This window comes from Homo sapiens, chromosome 2 (genome assembly GCF_000001405.40).
Source record: "Homo sapiens chromosome 2, GRCh38.p14 Primary Assembly".
Taxonomy (NCBI): Eukaryota; Metazoa; Chordata; class Mammalia; order Primates; family Hominidae; genus Homo; species Homo sapiens.
This window is the reverse complement of record NC_000002.12, coordinates 4,132,977-4,150,671: the sequence shown is the minus strand read 5'-3', so window position 1 is coordinate 4,150,671 and position 17,695 is coordinate 4,132,977. Positions and strand designations below refer to the sequence as shown.

General features: G+C 38.4%; 1 long non-coding RNA gene across 1 annotated transcript, besides 1 other annotated feature; it reads left to right on the top strand.

Moving 5' to 3' along the window:
* Window positions 1-9,946: 9,946 nt before the first annotated feature.
* Window positions 9,947-14,675, top strand: LOC107985841 (uncharacterized). The gene is made up of 3 exons (XR_001739260.1): window positions 9,947-10,044; window positions 13,410-13,551; window positions 13,668-14,675. It is a non-coding gene; the product is annotated as an uncharacterized LOC107985841 (long non-coding RNA).
* Window positions 14,321-14,490: an enhancer, noted in NCBI's record as "experimental_58486 CRE fragment used in MPRA reporter constructs". NCBI's record gives its function as "activates a minimal promoter by MPRAs in K562 erythroleukemia cells, with activity observed for both the introgressed and non-introgressed 2:4183857 variant alleles {active_cell/tissue: K562}" and the evidence as "EXISTENCE:reporter gene assay evidence [ECO:0000049][PMID:34662402]".
* Window positions 14,676-17,695: the final 3,020 nt, after the last annotated feature.

Genomic DNA, 17,695 nt, shown 5'->3' with positions numbered 1-17,695 from the left:
CACAGGAAGGACAGAGCAGAAAGAAGACATCTAGCATACTTTAAAACTCCCTTAACATTGAATATGCTCAGATCCATCAGCAGGGTAGAAATTTCACTGGCATAGAGTTTGGGCATAAACTTTAAACAACTGCCAGCTAAAAAAACAAGTAATGCAGATTCCGGAGAAAGCTTTAGGAAGCTAGACTCAAAAATGATCATTTAAACAAAAACCAGCAAAGACATCATCAGCTCCACATTATAGAGGAAACAAATACTGGAGATTAAGTCCAGGCAAGTTACAATTAAAAACAAAAATAGCAATAGCAGTAGTAACCCTCAAGAAAAAAATTCACTAACATCTTGTCTAAAATGTCTAAAATGTCAAGATCTTCATAAAAATATTATGAGACAGGCAAAAATCAGGAAGTCTGACTCACATTTAGGGAAAGAAAATAGTCACTAGAAATTGACTGTGAGTTGGCCCAGATACAAAATTTAGCAGACAAATATTAACTGCAAAGCAACTAACATGATGCTTAAAAATTCCAGAAACTATGTATATTCAAAGAATTAAATTAAAACATGATTAAAATGACTCTACAAATAGGTATTCTCAATAAAGATATAGAAACTATTAAAAAAATAGTATAAATCTTGGAGTTATAAAATACCATAACTGAAATGAAAACTTTACTGGATGAGTTTAACCACTGAATGTGGAATGGTAAAGGAAAGAATCAGTGAATGTAAAGAAGGATTAACAGAAATAATTCAGTGTAAACAAGAGAGCAAAAAATTAAAGAAAATGAATAAAAATGGATTAAAGAAAGACAGCTGTAGAACAGCAACAAGCATATCAGCATACATGTGATAGGAGTTCCAGACACAGAGAAGAGTGAGAAAGGGGAAGAAAAATAATGGAAGAGTGGCCAATGGCTTCCCAAATTTGATTTTTTAAAAAAAAACCCACTAATAAACAGATCCAAGAGGTTCATAACTCACCACATATCATCACATATATAGAAGTATTGATACAATTAATGTCTAGTTGTCCAGCTGAAACAATGGAGGCCAGAATGCAATGGAATGAACTTTTCAAAGTACTAAAAAAAAATCAGACAAGAATTCTATATCCAGTGAAACTGTCCTTTAAAAATAAAAGTGAAATAAAGACATTCCCAGACAAAGATTGAGAGAACATGTTGATAGCAGATATGTCTTATGACAAAGACTAAAGGAAGGCCATTAAACTGAAAGGAGATGGCATCAGATGGTAACTTGGATCCATAGGAAGAAATGAAGAGAACTGCAAATGTTTAATAGGAACCTTCATATCAAAGACTTCATAAAGTCTTTCTCTTAACTTTTTTAAAAAGATATGATCAACTAAAGTAATAATTATAACTGTGTACTAGGAGGTTTATAAAAATATGTAAATCACAGTCATAACGAAAAGGAGGGGGCAGGGAATGGGGATATATTAGAGCAAAAGTTTAAGGTGATATTAATCTGAAGTAAATTGTTCTACTACATGATGAATATTGTAATACATAGAGCAATAATTAGAAAAGTACCTAAAAATATAGCAAAAAATTAAAATGATATACTAAAAATATGTTGTTTAACACAAAGTAAGACAATAAAGATCAGAGGCAAAAAATAAGATATAAAACATACAGAATACAAACAACATATGGCAGATGTAACTATAACTATATCATAGTTACATTAAATGTCAATGGATTAAATATCCTAACCAAAAGGCAGAGATTGGCATATTGGTTTAAAAGGCAAGATTCAACTACACGCTATCTACAAGAGACAAATTTATGATTCAAATACAAAAACATATTGAAAGTAAACGAATGGAAAAAGATATTCCATGTAAAACTTAACCATAAGACATGCATTGATTTAGATAAAATATAATTTAAAACAAGAAACATCTCTAGAAAAAGGAAGGGGATATCTTAATAAAAAGACTCAGTACTTCAAAATATTTTAAGATTACAAATACCTGCCCCTAACAACAAAACCGCTAAATACATTAAACCAAAATAGACAATTGAATAAAAAACTAAGTGATTCAACATTTGTAGTTGGAGTCCATACCTACTTCTAAATAATTGATGAAACAGATATACAGAAAACATCAAAGATATAGATAACTTACACGAGCAACCAACATGACCAAACTGACCATGATAGAACACTCTACCCATACAGAATACATACATATTTTTCAAGAACATAAAGATTATTCTCCAAGACAGGCCATATGATAATCTAATAAAAAGTTGCAAATTGAAAAGGATTTAAAAATTTAATCTGACATCAGATTATAGCAAAGTTAAATTAGAAGTCTATAATAGAAAGAAATTAGGGGCATCACAAATACTTGAAAATTTAAAAATGTATTTTTAAAAGGCTTTTAAAAATATTTTAGGCCGGGCGCGGTGGCTCACGCCTGTAATCCCAGCACTTTGGGAGGCCGAGGCGGGTGGATCATGAGGTCAGGAGACTGAGACCATCCTGGCTAACAAGGTGAAACCCCGTCTCTACTAAAAATACAAAAAATTAGCCGGGCGCGGTGGCGGGCGCCTGTAGTCCCAGCTACTCGGGAGGCTGAGGCAGGAGAATGGCGCGAACCCGGGAGGCGGAGCTTGCAGTGAGCCGAGATTGCGCCACTGCAGTCCGCAGTCCGGCGTGGGCGACAGAGCGAGACTCCGTCTCAAAAAAAAAAAAAAAAAAAAAAAATATTTTAAACTGAATAAAAAAACAAAGTATCAAAATTTATGATTCAAAAGCAATAAAGAGAAATTCATGCCTTTAAACACTTATTTAGAAAATGAGGTCTCGGCCGGGCGCGGTGGCTCACGCCTGTAATCCCAGCACTTTGGGAGGCCGAGGCGGGCGGATCACGAGGTCAGGAGATCGAGACCATCCTGGCTAAAACGGTGAAACCCCGTCTCTACTAAAAATACAAAAAATTAGCCGGGCGTAGTGGCGGGCGCCTGTAGTCCCAGCTACTTGGGAGGCTGAGGCAGGAGAATGGCGTGAACCCGGGAGGCGGAGCTTGCAGTGAGCCGAGATTGCGCCACTGCACTCCAGCCTGGGCGACAGAGCGAGACTCCGTCTCAAAAAAAAAAAAAAAAAAAAAAAAAAAGAAAATGAGGTCTCAAACCAATAATCTAAGCTTTGACCTTGAGAAACTGGCAAAATAAGAGAAAATTAAACCTAAATCAAAAATATAAGAAATAAAACCATATCAGAGTGAAAAACACAATAGTAAAGAGAAAAAAACAAGTATAATTAATGGAAAGGAAAGTTAGTTATCAGAAAAAATCAAAACATTGATAAAACTTTAGCTAGACTAACCAAGAAGAAAAAAACAAAAGGACTGGATTCATACATTATTAAAGTCAATATAAAAGTGTGAACATTTTTAATAATGCTATAAAATTTAAAAGATTATAAGGGAATCTTGTGAAAATTATACATTTTTATAACATCATCTAAAAATTACGCTACCTAGGTAAAACACAAATTTCCAGAAAGCCACAAATATCAAAATAGACTAAAAAATAAAGGAAAAGTTTTGCATTGACCTATAACATGAAAAGAAATTAAACTAGTAATTAAAAATCTTTCCAAAAGAACACACAGGCCTAGATAGCTTCATGAGTAAATTCTGTAAGATGTTAAAGATGCACTAACACTAATTCTATTATAAACTTTTTGTGAAAATAAAGAAGAATGCCAAAGTCATTCTCTGAGATTATTATGTCCCCAAAAGCAAAATCAGATAAAAATATTACAAGAATATAAAACTGCCGAGAAAGTTATTCATAAAGATAGTTGAAAAAATATTTAATAGAATATTAATAATGAAAACAATATTACCAGAAGAATTACACACCATGACCAAGTGGTATTAGTCTCAGGAATTCAAGGTCAAGTTGGCATAGAAAAACAGTTAGTGTAATCACAATATTAATATTTAGGTTGGTGCAAAATAATTGCGGTTTTGCCATTAATGGCAAAAGTAATTACTTTGGTAATGCCATTAGTTTTGTAATGCCAGTAATGGCATTAATTTTAAGGCAAAAACTGCAATTACTTTTGCACCAACCTGATAGAACAGGGGAAAAAAATTCGTAATGATTTCAATAGATGCAGAAAGGCATTTTGATAAAATCCAATGCCTATTCATAATAAAACCCCACTGGCTAAGTGGGGATAAAAAGGGAACTTCCTCAACCTTATAAAAAAATCTGCAAAGAACCTACAGCTAACATATTACTTAATGATAAAAGACAGAATGCTTTAAGATCAGAAAGAAGATAAAAATCTCTGCTCTCATCACTGCTGTTCAACATTGTACTGGAGGTTCTGGACAGTGCAATAAGGCAACAAAATTTAAAGATCTGCAGATTGAAAAAGAAAAAGTAAAAGCTGTCCTTAGGTGCTGATGACATAATCTTATATGTAGAAAATCATAAGAAATCCTCAAAAAACCTACTAGAAAGAATAAACAATTTTACCAATATTGTAGAACACAAGATCAATATACAAATCCAATTTCTACACATCAACAATGAACATTCAGAAATAAAATTAAGGAAATAATTCCATTCATAAGAGCATAAAAATTAAATACTTCAGAATAAATTTAACAAATGAAGTACAAACCCTATACGATAAAAAACTATAAAATGTTGCTGAGGAAAATTAAAGACATTATAAACCAATGGAGACACATTCCATGTACATGGATTAGAAGATTCAAAATTGTTAAAATGACAATTCTGTCCTAAGTGAACTATATGTCCAGTAAAAAAAGAAAAAGAACAAAAGAAAACAAAGAATCTGTTGTATAAATTGGCAAGCTAGTCTTAAAATGGATATGAAAATACAAAGAACCTAGATTTGCCAGAACAATTTTGAAAAATAAATGAGGAAAACTTACATTAATGTATTTAATAAATTACTATAAAGATATACTATATTCTATATTGGCATAAGAATAGACAAATAGATCAATGAAACTGAACAGAAAGTCCAATAACAAAACCCTTATATTTATGGTTAATAGATTTTCAACCAAAGTGCCAAAGCAATTTGATGAAAAAAGGATAGTCTTTTCAATAAGCAGTAATGGTGCTGGGATAATGGGATATCCAAATGTAAATATATGAAGATTTCTTAGCTATGACATCAAAAGTACAAGCCATTAAAATAATCGATAAATTGGATTTTATCAATATTTAAAATTTGGCTCTTCATAAGATGCAAATTTAAAAATTAAAAGGCATGCCACAGACTAAGAGACAATATTCTCAAGTTGTATCTGATAAGGATTTGTATCTAGAGTATAAACCACACAGTTTAACAATGCGAAAAATATTTAAGTAAACATTATAGCCAAAAGGATTTTTTAAATGGCCAATAAGCACATAAGATGATCAACATTATTTTTCAGTCAATAGGAAAATTAAAACCATAATAACCACTACATGCCCATTAAAATGGCTATAGTCAAAAAGATGGAATACAAAATGGTCCAGTGAATTTGGAAGACAGTTTACCAATTTCTTTGAAAAGTCAACATAAATGTATCATAAGACACGACAATTTCACTCCTAGGTATTTACCCAAGCAAAAGGAAAATGTCCACACAAATACATGTATGCCAATGCTCACAGCAGCTGGACCATATAGCCAAATACTGGAATCAAACCAAATATCCATCAACTTGTAAGTGATGAATAAATGTAGCATGACAAGTATTCAGCAATTAAAAACAATGAACAGCTGCAATACAGATGAGCCTCAAAAATATAATGCTCTGTGAAGGATACCAGACAGACATTAAATACTACATATTGTATGATTTCATTTACATGAATTTTTTTTGAAAAGCAAGTCTACAGACACAGAGAGAAGATGAAAGATTGCCTGGGGCGGGGCTTGGGATTGATCATAAGAGGGATTTACTAAAAATTACTGAATTGTACACTTATAGTGGGTAAAATTGTGGTATGTAAATTATACCTAAATAAAACTGTTAAAAATGAGTAAAAAATCATGTGGCACATATACACCATGGAATACTATGCAGCCAAAAAAAATGATGAGTTCATGTCCTTTGTAGGGACATGGATGAAGCTGGAAACCATCATTCTCAGCAAACTATCGCAAGGACAAAAACTAAACACCGCATCTTCTCACTCATAGGTGGGAGTTGAACAATGAGAACACATGGACACAGGAAGGGGAACATCACACACCGGGGACTGTTGTGGGGTGGGGGGAGGGGGGAGGGATAGCATTAGGAGATATACCTAATGCTAAATGACGAGTTAATGGGTGCAGCACACCAACATGGCACATGTATATATATGTAACAAACCTGCACATTGTGCACACGTACCCTAAAACTTAAAGTATAATAGTAAAAAAAAATCATCATTACCAGAGAAGTCATTCATGTGTGAATCTCACAGTGGCACCAGTCTATAATACACTTATTCAAAAAGCATTGAACAAGGAACCAGAAGTCTTTCCATCCCCTGGAATGTGTCCTCAAGAAAGTAATTTGATATTTTAGAGCCTCAGTGTCTCCACTTGTAAATCAAGTGCAACACCAACCACTGTGCCCTACTGGACTTTTTCATTCACTAAAGTCAGCCCTTCATTCATTCAGCAACTACCCATTGGCTGTCAATCACCCTGCAAGGAGTTAGAGGTGCAACCCTGGGAACATAGGGCATAATAGCTTCCTATAAAGGAAGCTTCCTTGGAAGAACACACAAGATATGTGAATATCCACAGGCAACTGTACAGTCTCATACAAATGGAAGTGAATATTATTATGAAAATGGCTCGCGTTGAAAATGGAGCACTTTTATGACAATATGAAAATGATGTTTGCCCTCAAACTCAGAAATACCCAAACCGTGCCTGAAAAGGACAATGTAAGAGCCCTCTACCTACGATCCCAAGGAAAGGAAATATCCCTGAGAGACAGTGCAAACTAGAGCATCATTACTGGGTGGGATTTTTGACAGAAAGTCCAGCGTAGACTTAGGTGAGCTGGAGCCCATGGAGTGATTGGGAGCCTGAGGGTGTCTTTAGTCTTGGGCCCAAGGTTGCATCTTACTGTAACTTTTGCTGGTATCCTTGTAGAAAGAGACCAAAAGTGGAAGAATGCCAGAAAACTTAGCAACTAAGCCACGTATGGAAAATAACTGAATGCACCCTTAACCACATGACTTTTTAATGCATGCAGTCTACACCAAGCATGGGGTGGCTTGCACCTGCCTTCACGCTGGTGTGCTTTCTTCTCTGAGGAGAGGCCACGTGGGTCAGAGTGGTTCCTCCATCCAAGGCTGAGAATGTGTGGCCCAGTTCTAGGTCCTAGGGTGAGCTCTGTCAGGAAAGTACACCTCGAAGAAGTTATTCACCCGCTCTGTGCTTTATGTTGGCTTCTTCATCAAACTTCAAAATGTAAATAATTACATGTGGACTACTTCATTATCTCACAGAGTGCATATGTGTGTGGAACCCAATGTAAAGAAAGTCTTAAGTAGGTGAAAAACGTTCTCTTCTTTTCTTCTATAGATGAATGCATGCATGGATTCTCAATGTATTTATTCAACAAATATTTAGTGAGTATCTGCAGTTTTCTAAGCACTAAGCACAGTTATATTCACTCTCATGGAAGAAACAAAAAATGGCGGGGAACACAGTCATTCATCAAATAATCACGGTAGTGGAGGCATAATTACAAAACAAGTTGAATATTCCAAAAGAAAGGGAACCCAGGTCTCCAGGAGTGCATAGGAGAGGAAGCAGGCTGAGGCCGGGAAGTAAGGGAAGGTGTCCCAGAGAAGGGCACCCTTGAGCTGAGCTCTGATGGATGAGTAGGGTGACTGAACTGTGCTCGCTGAAGATGGAACAACCAGGGATTCAGTGAGGGGAAGGGAGGGCAGCCAGGCACAGGGAACAAAATGAGTTAATGCATCCATCCAAGCTGGAGGGAGTAGGACCTTGCCAAGGAACTGGATAGGGGAATATGCACAACAGAGGAGAGAATGGGTAGAGAGTGGTAGGAATGGAAGATGGACAAGGAGGCAGAGACCCAGTTCGCCCTGGCTCAGGGCTTGGAAAGGGTTTTGATCTTCATCTGGCAGCAACAGGATGCAGTGAGAGTCCACGTCAAATGCACTAACTACCTTTAAACTTGCACTCAATGAGTGCAAATCATCATTATTTATTCATATTGCTCAGAATCATATATATGGAAAAGATGTAACAAAACATTCAGTGCAAATAACTCACTGTACAGATGAGGTAATTAAGCAATGAACCACATTATCTCAGCTGCTGGCAGAATCCAGGCTTTCTGGGTTCCGGCCAAATGCTCTGACTTGTAGACACCTTTTCTCTTACAATTTCATATGACATTATGGGGATTAAACCTTATTTATATGACAAACCTCATTTTTAATTCAATTATTCATTTATTTAATAAATATTTATTGAGCATGTATGTGCCAGTCTCTGTGCTTAATAAATTATTACATTTTAATTATGGTGTGAATGGACAAGTGCCATGGATATGAAAGAGCCTAATACTCCCACTTATTCTCTCATTTATGACTGGAATTGATAGTAGACTGTCAGAAAATTACTGATTATGGCCCAGTTCTTCCAATTTATTGCAGGGCCATTGAATTATCTCTATAGAAGAAACATATTTTATAAAATCCAGGCCTAAAGAATACTTAAACATCTTTTGAAAAGGAATTTCCCTTACCTCATTATAAAAATACTTGTTCATTATAAAAAATATTAATATAAAAATACAAAGAATAAAAAACCCTCAATTCCACCATCGAAAAGGTAAGCATTAACTATATATTAGTATATTATTCCAGTTTTTGTCTCCTATGGGTCAGTTTCTTCAGATGATACCTTGAGGTTTCTCTGGCTTTTCAAATTTAATATTTTTACAATAGCATTTCCTAATATCATTAAAAATTCACGGTAAACATCAATTGATTTCCCAAATATAAATCAAATAAAATGATCAAATTTCTCTAGTTTTTTTTTTACCTTTTTTGCCATTATAAATTGTACAGCAAAAAGTGCTTTGTTGATAAAATGTTTTGCCAAACGTAACAGCCACTCGCATTTATTTTGTGTTCACTACATGCTTTGCACACATAATCTTAATTCATCTCCACAGTGATCCTTTTAGTTAAAAGCTGTTATTATCTATATTTTATAAATAAGGAAACTAAAGCTAGGGGAGAAGGCCAGGAGGATTACCTAACTTTTATTGAGCACCTGTTATATGCACGGCTGTGTGCTACAAGCTTTGTGTGCTCTCATCCGTTCCATCAGGTCACCTTTACTGTCATTCCCGTTTTACAGATGCGGTGACTAAGGCAAGAGCTCAGTAGGAAACTTTCCCAGGTTACACATGCCACATATGTTTGCACTGTGATTTGAATGGCAGGCTGGCTTTGCAGCCTGACTCTTTAGCAGTCCTAGGCGTGCACAGCTAGAAAATTGGAGGAATTTACAATTATCCCCTCAGGATGTATTCCCAGAAGTCAAATTACTGCTCTTGAAACACTCCTCTAAGCTGCTTTACAAGCATTTACCAAGTTACACTCCTATAAGGAAAGTGAGAAAGTGCCCATTGATGCAGGGCCTGTCCATTTGTTTTCAATCTTGCAATCATGAAAGAGGTATATTCTTAAAAATTTAAAGCTGGGCAAAATAAGCCTTCTGGCAACATATAGCTCTTGATTTCTATGTTTTACATTTAACTATGGCACACTCTGCTTCTGTAACAGTCACTGTCACCGAGCCTCCCCTCCTCCCCGTGACGAGGTTCCTGGTGACCTCACAGATGCAGCCCTCAGACATACAGGCACCCGTGTCAGGGCTCCCACTCGGCAAGGGAGGAAAATAAAAGGAGAATCAAGTGAAGGGAAAGGAGAAAGGAGGCAGAAGAGAACACAAGAAGTTCCCTTTAACAGGAGGAAAAGTAAGTAAACCTCAAGCCTGAATGTCTGAAATAGACACTAGGCATTTCTAATTGGAAATCATGAATTAGTGTGCTGTGGGAGTGCCTGCTGCTGAGCTGCTGAGCACAGCCTCACGCCTGCCAGAGCAGCCACATGTGTCACCTTCCCAGCTCCCAGGGAGGGCAGGGAGAGGTGAGCTAAGTTACAGGCTAATCAGAAGGCGCAGCTCCGTAGCTCCCTACAGACGCCCTGAGTCAGTGTGGAGTTTATTTGCCTTTGGGAAAAGGTGTCATGGAATATTTAAGTAAAGAAAAAGTGAGAAAAGGGTTCACACAGGAGCTCACCTCACATTTTAAGGACATCAAATAGAACTCACCAAACAACACCTGAATGATTCCAGTGTGAGTGAATCAGAAGCAGATAGATCAAATTTCTCCTAAACTGCATTTGCAGTTTAAAAAATCAAAGTGAAAACTGCCTTGGCCATAAGTCATTTATTTTTATCTTGAATTTAAAAATCAATGTGTTCTTCATGGCAGCCTCTGGGTAAAGATACAATAACATAAATATAATTAATGACCAATCAGCAGCAGAACCCCACTAGACTCAAACCTCATCCCCCTCATTCTTGTCATTTATTTGTTGAAATATCAACTTCCCATAAAGATGGAACAGCCTTAAACTCCAGTTCACTGGTTTAGAAACAGCACCAACCTGACAGGCATGTGGTGAAACCAGAGCTAATATTTACCGAACACTTTGACCACCTAATATGCTATACTGGCAGCAAATATCATTGTGAACTTTCTCTCTCAGATCATTTAAACCAGTGTTTGCATAATACCAAGATCTAAAAATGCAATGAATCATTTTAAAACATAAAACAAAAGTGAAAGACTTTAGAGATTAAACTGATAATAATTCTGTCAACTGGGCATAAAGCATTGTTTCTAGGCACTGTGTGGAAGTTTGCTGGAAATAACACTGACATAGTAACTGTATAAAGGTATCATACACTCCAGTTGCATCTTCCAATGGCTGACGATGGTCAATGGTTGGAACACTTGAGAGGTATGCGAGATTCCCCAAGTGCTCCAGGGCAGTGGATCTCACACTTGAGCAAGCATCAGCATCCACTGGAGGGCTGTTCAAACACAGCGACCCACGTCCAGGGTTCTGGTTGAGTGGGTCTGGGGTAGAACTTGAGAATGCAAGTTTCTAGCCAATTTTAAGGTCATGCAGATGCCGTTGTCCTACATACTATACTTTGTTGTTACTGTTGTTGTTTTTGAAACAGAGTCTCACTCTATCGCCCAGGCCAGCATGCAGTGGCAGGATCTTGGCTCACTGCAGCCTCCACCTCCCAGGTTCAAGTGATTCTCCTGCCTCAGCCTCCTGAGTAGCTGGGATTACAGGCACTCACCACTATGTCCCGCTAATTTTTGCATTTTTAGTAGAGATAGGGTTTCACCATGCTGGCCAGGCTGGTCTTAAACTCCTGACCTCTGGTGATCTGCCTGTCTCAGCCTCCCAGAGTTCTGGGATTACAGGCACAAGCCACCACACCCAGCCCCTAGGTACTATACTTTGAAATTCACTCTTCTACCAAATGCACATCCTTAAAGATGTTGTCTAAGTCCATTAGGGCTACCATAACAAAATACCTTAGACAAGGTGACTTATAAACAACAGAAATTTGTTGTTTATAAGGCTGAGAAGTTCAGGATCTGAGAAGGCTGAGAAGTTCAGGATCAAGCCACCAGCAAAGTAAATGTCTGGTGAGGATCCAGTTTCTGGTTAACAGATAACACCCTCTCACTATGTCTTCTCATGGTAGGAGGACAAACAGGCTCCCCAGGGCCTCTTATATAAGGGCACTAATCCCAGTCAGGAAGGCCCCAACCTAAAGGTTCTACTTCTTAATACTAATGCATTGGAAATTAGGTTTCAACTTATGAGTCTAGGGAGACACAAACATTCATATCATAGCAGATACAAATAGATCCTATTTCCACTTCTCTTTATAATCAATCAATAAAATGTTGCTTCCTCTAATAGGAGCCATTTAGAGAAGCCCTAAGGCCAGAGAAAGGAAGCACACATGGCCAAAAGTGGGCATTAGGTATGGGGGCACAAGACTTGGCCAACAGGTCCCTTCGTCAGTCAGCTGATAGCACTCTCTACCTTGGGGCTTTTAACTTTCTTAGAGTCGTAATTAATGCTTTTATTCCTTGTCTTAATTTTATATTGCTTATTCCTTGTTTCTCACACAAGCCCCACAAAGTTGAGATTACTAACTCATCTGACAGATATGGTGCCTGAGTTTTAAGCTGCTTAAGCAATGTAACTATGTTTACCCAGCTAGTATCAGACACTAAGTGTCAGAGCTGGGATTCAGACTTGCAACTGCATCAGTCTGACCCCAGTGTATCTGTCCATACCCTTGTACTTTATAGTATTACTGACCCCAGTGAATCTGTCCATACCCTTGTACTTGATAGTACTATACATATAGTATTATATATACTATATATTATGTACATATAAATATAGTAGTACTATATATATGCAAAACTATATATATGTATAGTTATACATACATTATTTAGATTTATATGTTTATTTGATGCCCCTACTACTGTAGGGAACCTGAAGGTCATACCTCTATTCTGTATTGCTAGCTCCTTGCTCAATGCTAGGTACGTAACAGGTGCTCCTTCATTCAGTATTTCTGAATTCCTTCTACGTGCCAGATACTGCCTTAATAAAACCAGAGAAGGAAAGAAACTCAGGTCACTACTTGGGGAAAGACTGACAATAGCCATAATAGCAAAGTCACACATCATGTTACCAGATGAAAAGTGCTGTGTGCAAAAATTAGAGCAGGGTCAGAGGGGCCTGAATGGACAAATGAATGGACGAATTATTATTAATTCCTAGAAAATTCACCTTCCAAATAGGAGTGTCCCTTTTATATTTCTACGGACATAGGAAAGACACTCAGATTAGGTTACAAATTGAGTTTCCCTTCTCCCTATGAAAACACAGCTTGAGACTTTTTCTCAAGTCACTTTGAGTAATTACTTTCATATTTTCAATTCTGCTCTGTCTCTATCTTATTTTTGTTATATGCCAAGTGTTATTTTTTAAATTGTTTATACTTACACTAACTTCCTCTTTCATATGTCCAAGATTTCAGCAAACATTTCATTTTCCCCTACCTTGCCTTCCAACTCCTTTTATCCAAAACAATCTCACTGTTTCTTCTAGAATGCCTAAGATCTCAATACGGGTTTACTAAATCAATCACTGTTTCCATTGTACCTCTGGGAATGCGACATGTTATTGTTAATGGTACATATGACAATTTCTCTCACATGAACAGTGGCTTTTTAGGAAACAGCGATGATCTAAAGGACAAAGAAGTTGATTCTACAGAAAACCATGAGAATCTACAAATTCCACCGTTTAAACAGGTCAGCTTCACCTGTTATGATTAGAGTTAACAGAGAAATGGATATCAACAGGTGAGCAGTCTCTTCTCTTCTGTTTGACATTCTCCTCTGTGGTTTTCCAACATGTGAACTAGCTCCTTTCATTTATTCAAATTTTAATACACATTCTCTTTACATCTTTCCATCAGGTTTCCAGGAAATAAGTCTGGTGATGCAATCACAAAAGATGATACCTCACTTTAAATCTGATGACTTCAAAGTAGGCCTGAGATGACTACCCTCAAATAGGTTGATTTTGGCATCAGTAACACTACAGGTAAAAGCGTGCATTAAAACTGAAGCCACAGCCTGCACATTTGCTTCTGTAGTCCAGCATTTAGCTTGTCTGCTGAAGAACGGTTTTAAAAATATCCCAGAGAAGATGACACCACTTATACTCTTTGACAAATGAATTGGGAGATGAACAGACATTGAAAAGAATATAGGAAATGTATCACATTGTTTAAAAATAAAGTCAAAAACATCCTTTAGAAGCTTCAGAAACAAAAGCAGTAGTGTATAAAAAAAAAGTCCTCATTCTCATTCAGCAACTATGACCGAGCGCCCACTCTGCGCAATGAGATCTATGAAGCATTCAGTCATCCGAGTTACAAGCGTGCGACGCCCAAGCAACATCTTCCACCTGTCCCCTGCTGCAGCATCCTCAGCCTCGGCCCTCTCCTCTGCCTCCGCGGTCTCTGTCATCAGCATCGTCTGCTCCATCCTCGCTCTCCCAGTTCACACCCTTCACTTCTAATCAGCACTCTGGCTATAGCCTGTTCTAAATTCTACCCACCTCTGACATGCTGGGTCATGCAAAAACATTCAGGAGTAGGTCATTTCTAGTCCAACCAATGTCCGACTAATTTATCGTCGTATGGAGGAACCTCCTCCACTTTTGTGGGGTAAACAGTTCCCGTGCCTTTCCTCAAACTCCTTTACAGGGTATTCTCAGCGTTTTCTTCTCTTGAATTCTTAGGAAGTGAACATAATTATGGGACCAGAATGGACAGCTAGATGTACACCTGGAGTTATGTTAAATTGTGAACTGTTGCTTTAAAAATGGGCTGGCCTTGATGTCGCTGCTCCAGTGAGAACCGAAGCAGGGGCGGCGGCAGCAAAGCGCCTGTTCCCTGAAAAGCAGACCTCAGAACAGGAGGAACGCAGCCTGGGCCTGCAGGTGGGCATGTGGGTAAGGAAGCCATTGACGCCGCCGCCGCCGCACTCCTCAAAGGAAGAGCTTAACAGGCCAGTCGGGAGGGGTGTGTGCCAGTGGGTAGATGCTACCGGGAGGGAGAGCAGGAAATTCAGGGTAGGCTGAGTGCCGTAACTAACAGGAATAAGTTCAGAGTTCAGAGAAACTTTCTTACTGAGTTTGGGCCCAGGCATGACATTCCATTCTCCTCTATCACCATTCCAAAACAAGAGATCACCTCTCCCTCTCCCTCCACGGGGATTTCAGATGTATCTGAGAGAGTGGCTACACTCAGATAAACGAAGTACAATAAAATAAAGCCTGCCACTGTAGCTCTGAGAATGTGGCATGTTGTTATTAATGGTACATGTGACCATTTCTCATACGAACAGCAACATTTTAGGCAACAGTGATAATCTAAAGGACAAAGAAGTTGACTCTACAGAAAACCACGAGAATCTACAAATTCCATCCTTTAAGCAGGTCAGCTTCACCTGTTATGATTAGAGTTAACAGAGAAACGGATATCAACAGGTGAGCAGCTCAAAGCCCAACAGGGAAGTCACTGTTGTGACTCATTCATGGTTGCCCACGTCAAATCAGTGTGTCACTTCCCACCCTTAAGGGTGTTTTTCCTAATCAGGAAGCTTCTTTCTGGAGGTGGGGGAGCTCTTGAATATAAAATCTTTCTCCTTTCCACATGTCGTCTATTTTTCTAATACACTGGGTGCAGCTCAGATGACATGTGTGGGATCCTGGGCTGTGAAAACTGGTTTTCAGAGGCCCTTGAACTCCAAGGGCTCTGAGTTAAGGGTAAAATCCAACTACAGAGGAGTGAAGTTTTCTTGACAAGAAAGGAGTTGGATGGGCCTGTCTCTGCCTCTTGTCAGCCGCAGATCACGTGGGGACACTAGTGAACTGGGGGTGAGTGGGAAGAACCAGCTTCCCAAGCCCCAACAAAAAAAAATGCCAATTAAGGAAGCACCTCTGCAAAAGAGACTCTTTTTACCAACGGAAGCAAATCCAGACTAGCAAATTAGACCTTGCTGGGGAGCAGCAGGGAAGATGATCCAAAAGACCAAGGCACAGAGAAACCCTTATTTATTTTATTTTTGTTTTAGAAAAACACCCAGGGGAGAGGTGAATACTCTTTGACAACAGCTGCCAAGAATAACAAGACTCAGAAGAAATTAGGAGGCAGCAGCTATAAATATACAGCATAAGAGGAAATGCAGCCCACAATTTTAAGGGGAAATGGGGCCTACTGCACTCAAAGACCAACAGTAAAATTCATTTAAAGGCACGGGGCATCCCACTGGAGGACTGAGAGGAGTTTCACAGGCTTATCTTTCATGTCAATCAGAAAAATATATACTTGATAAAATATTTTTCTTAAGTTAGTTAAAAAGTGGCTGTCATTAGTATCAACTTTGGGGGCACCAAAAATTGCTTTATGACTCATGCATTAATTTAACAAATTGTCAGTAAGAACATACTATGTAATGTGCCAGTTGCTAGACATTGAAAAGCCAATAAGAAATGTCTTTCATTCTTGAACGCTAAGAGCTCACAGCCTCATAAAGATCAAAGTATTTAAATTTTTCCATCATGCATCTCTTGAGTTTCCCAACTAATCAGTTAAAACAGTGAGCCCAAGTTTCTTGGTCAGTGATAATGAGCCTTTTTGGAGAGACACATTATATAGTAGTAATTCCATGGATTTGAATTCCCTCTGTGCCATGCAGTGGTTGAATGACCTTTAACAGAGTTTCTCGACCTCAGTACTGTTGACATTTGGGGCTAGATATGGAGACACGGGACTTCCCTGTCAAAGGGGCCATCTTGTGCACTGTAGGGTTCAGCAGCATCCCTGGTCTCCACCTCCCAAATGCCAGGAGTACCTCCCACTTTTGACAAGAAAAAGTGTCTCCAGACTTTGTCAAATGGCCCCCCGTTAACTGCACTGTGCACAAAATTTTTAAAAAATCAAGAAACTAACGTTGCTTCCTTTTACTTTCCATGGCCCTCTGTAAAAAGAGGAGTTGAACGAATTATTACAGTAGTCCGTGATTTTAAACCCTTAAACGTAGTGTGTTGCCGGGGAAAAATCATGGCTTTAGATTCCGTTCCAATTCCATCCATTTCTGGTTGTTAGCTTTGGGTGAATTCCTTCATCTTATTGAGGCCTGGACTCCTGTGCAAACGTAGGAATGGCAGGGGGACTTAAAGGGTGTATGCTAGAGTGCCCAGCATACAGGAGATGCTCCACAATTCAGGGCTAAGCTATTGCAGCAACTCTCAAAAACTAGTCTTTCTGATCTAATCTGATGATTGCATATTCCTATTGATAAATGTATCCATGAGAAAGATAAAACAGCTGCTCTAACAGCTGTCTGAAAATGTCAAAATGAATAACAAAATTAAAGTTTTCTCTTGCTATACGAAGTCTGGTATAGATGTTCCTCACAGGCTCTGCTCCAAACAGTGTGAGGAATCCAGGCTCCCTCCATTGCCAACATGGCCATTCATGGTCTCTAAGCCACCACATGTGTGCCAGGTGCACAGACACCCCACTGTGGCCTGAAGGGGACACATTCTGTGCTCTCATGTCCCAGCAGCCGGGAGAGTCACATGATGCCACCTGCACACAGGAAACTTGTGGAGTGCAAATAGTCCTCTCTGCGAATTAGGCACTAAAAATAAAAATAAAATTATAATGCTGGCTTTGTTACAAACAGTTTATAGTATAAGGGGAAACATAAGGAGAAAAAACATAAGATATAAATATTAAGTGATGTATAAGCTTCCACTTAGGTTGTCAAATAAGATTGAATTATAAGCCCCTTAAGAGATAATTGAAAATGCACTACCAGCAACTCTAGAGCAGGCAGGCGAGTGCTCTGAGGGTTTTCCAAGAAAGCCAAAGATAACATCTAAGGAAGCTTCCTCTGTCCTCCAGTAAAGCTTCTCAAGACAGCTGAC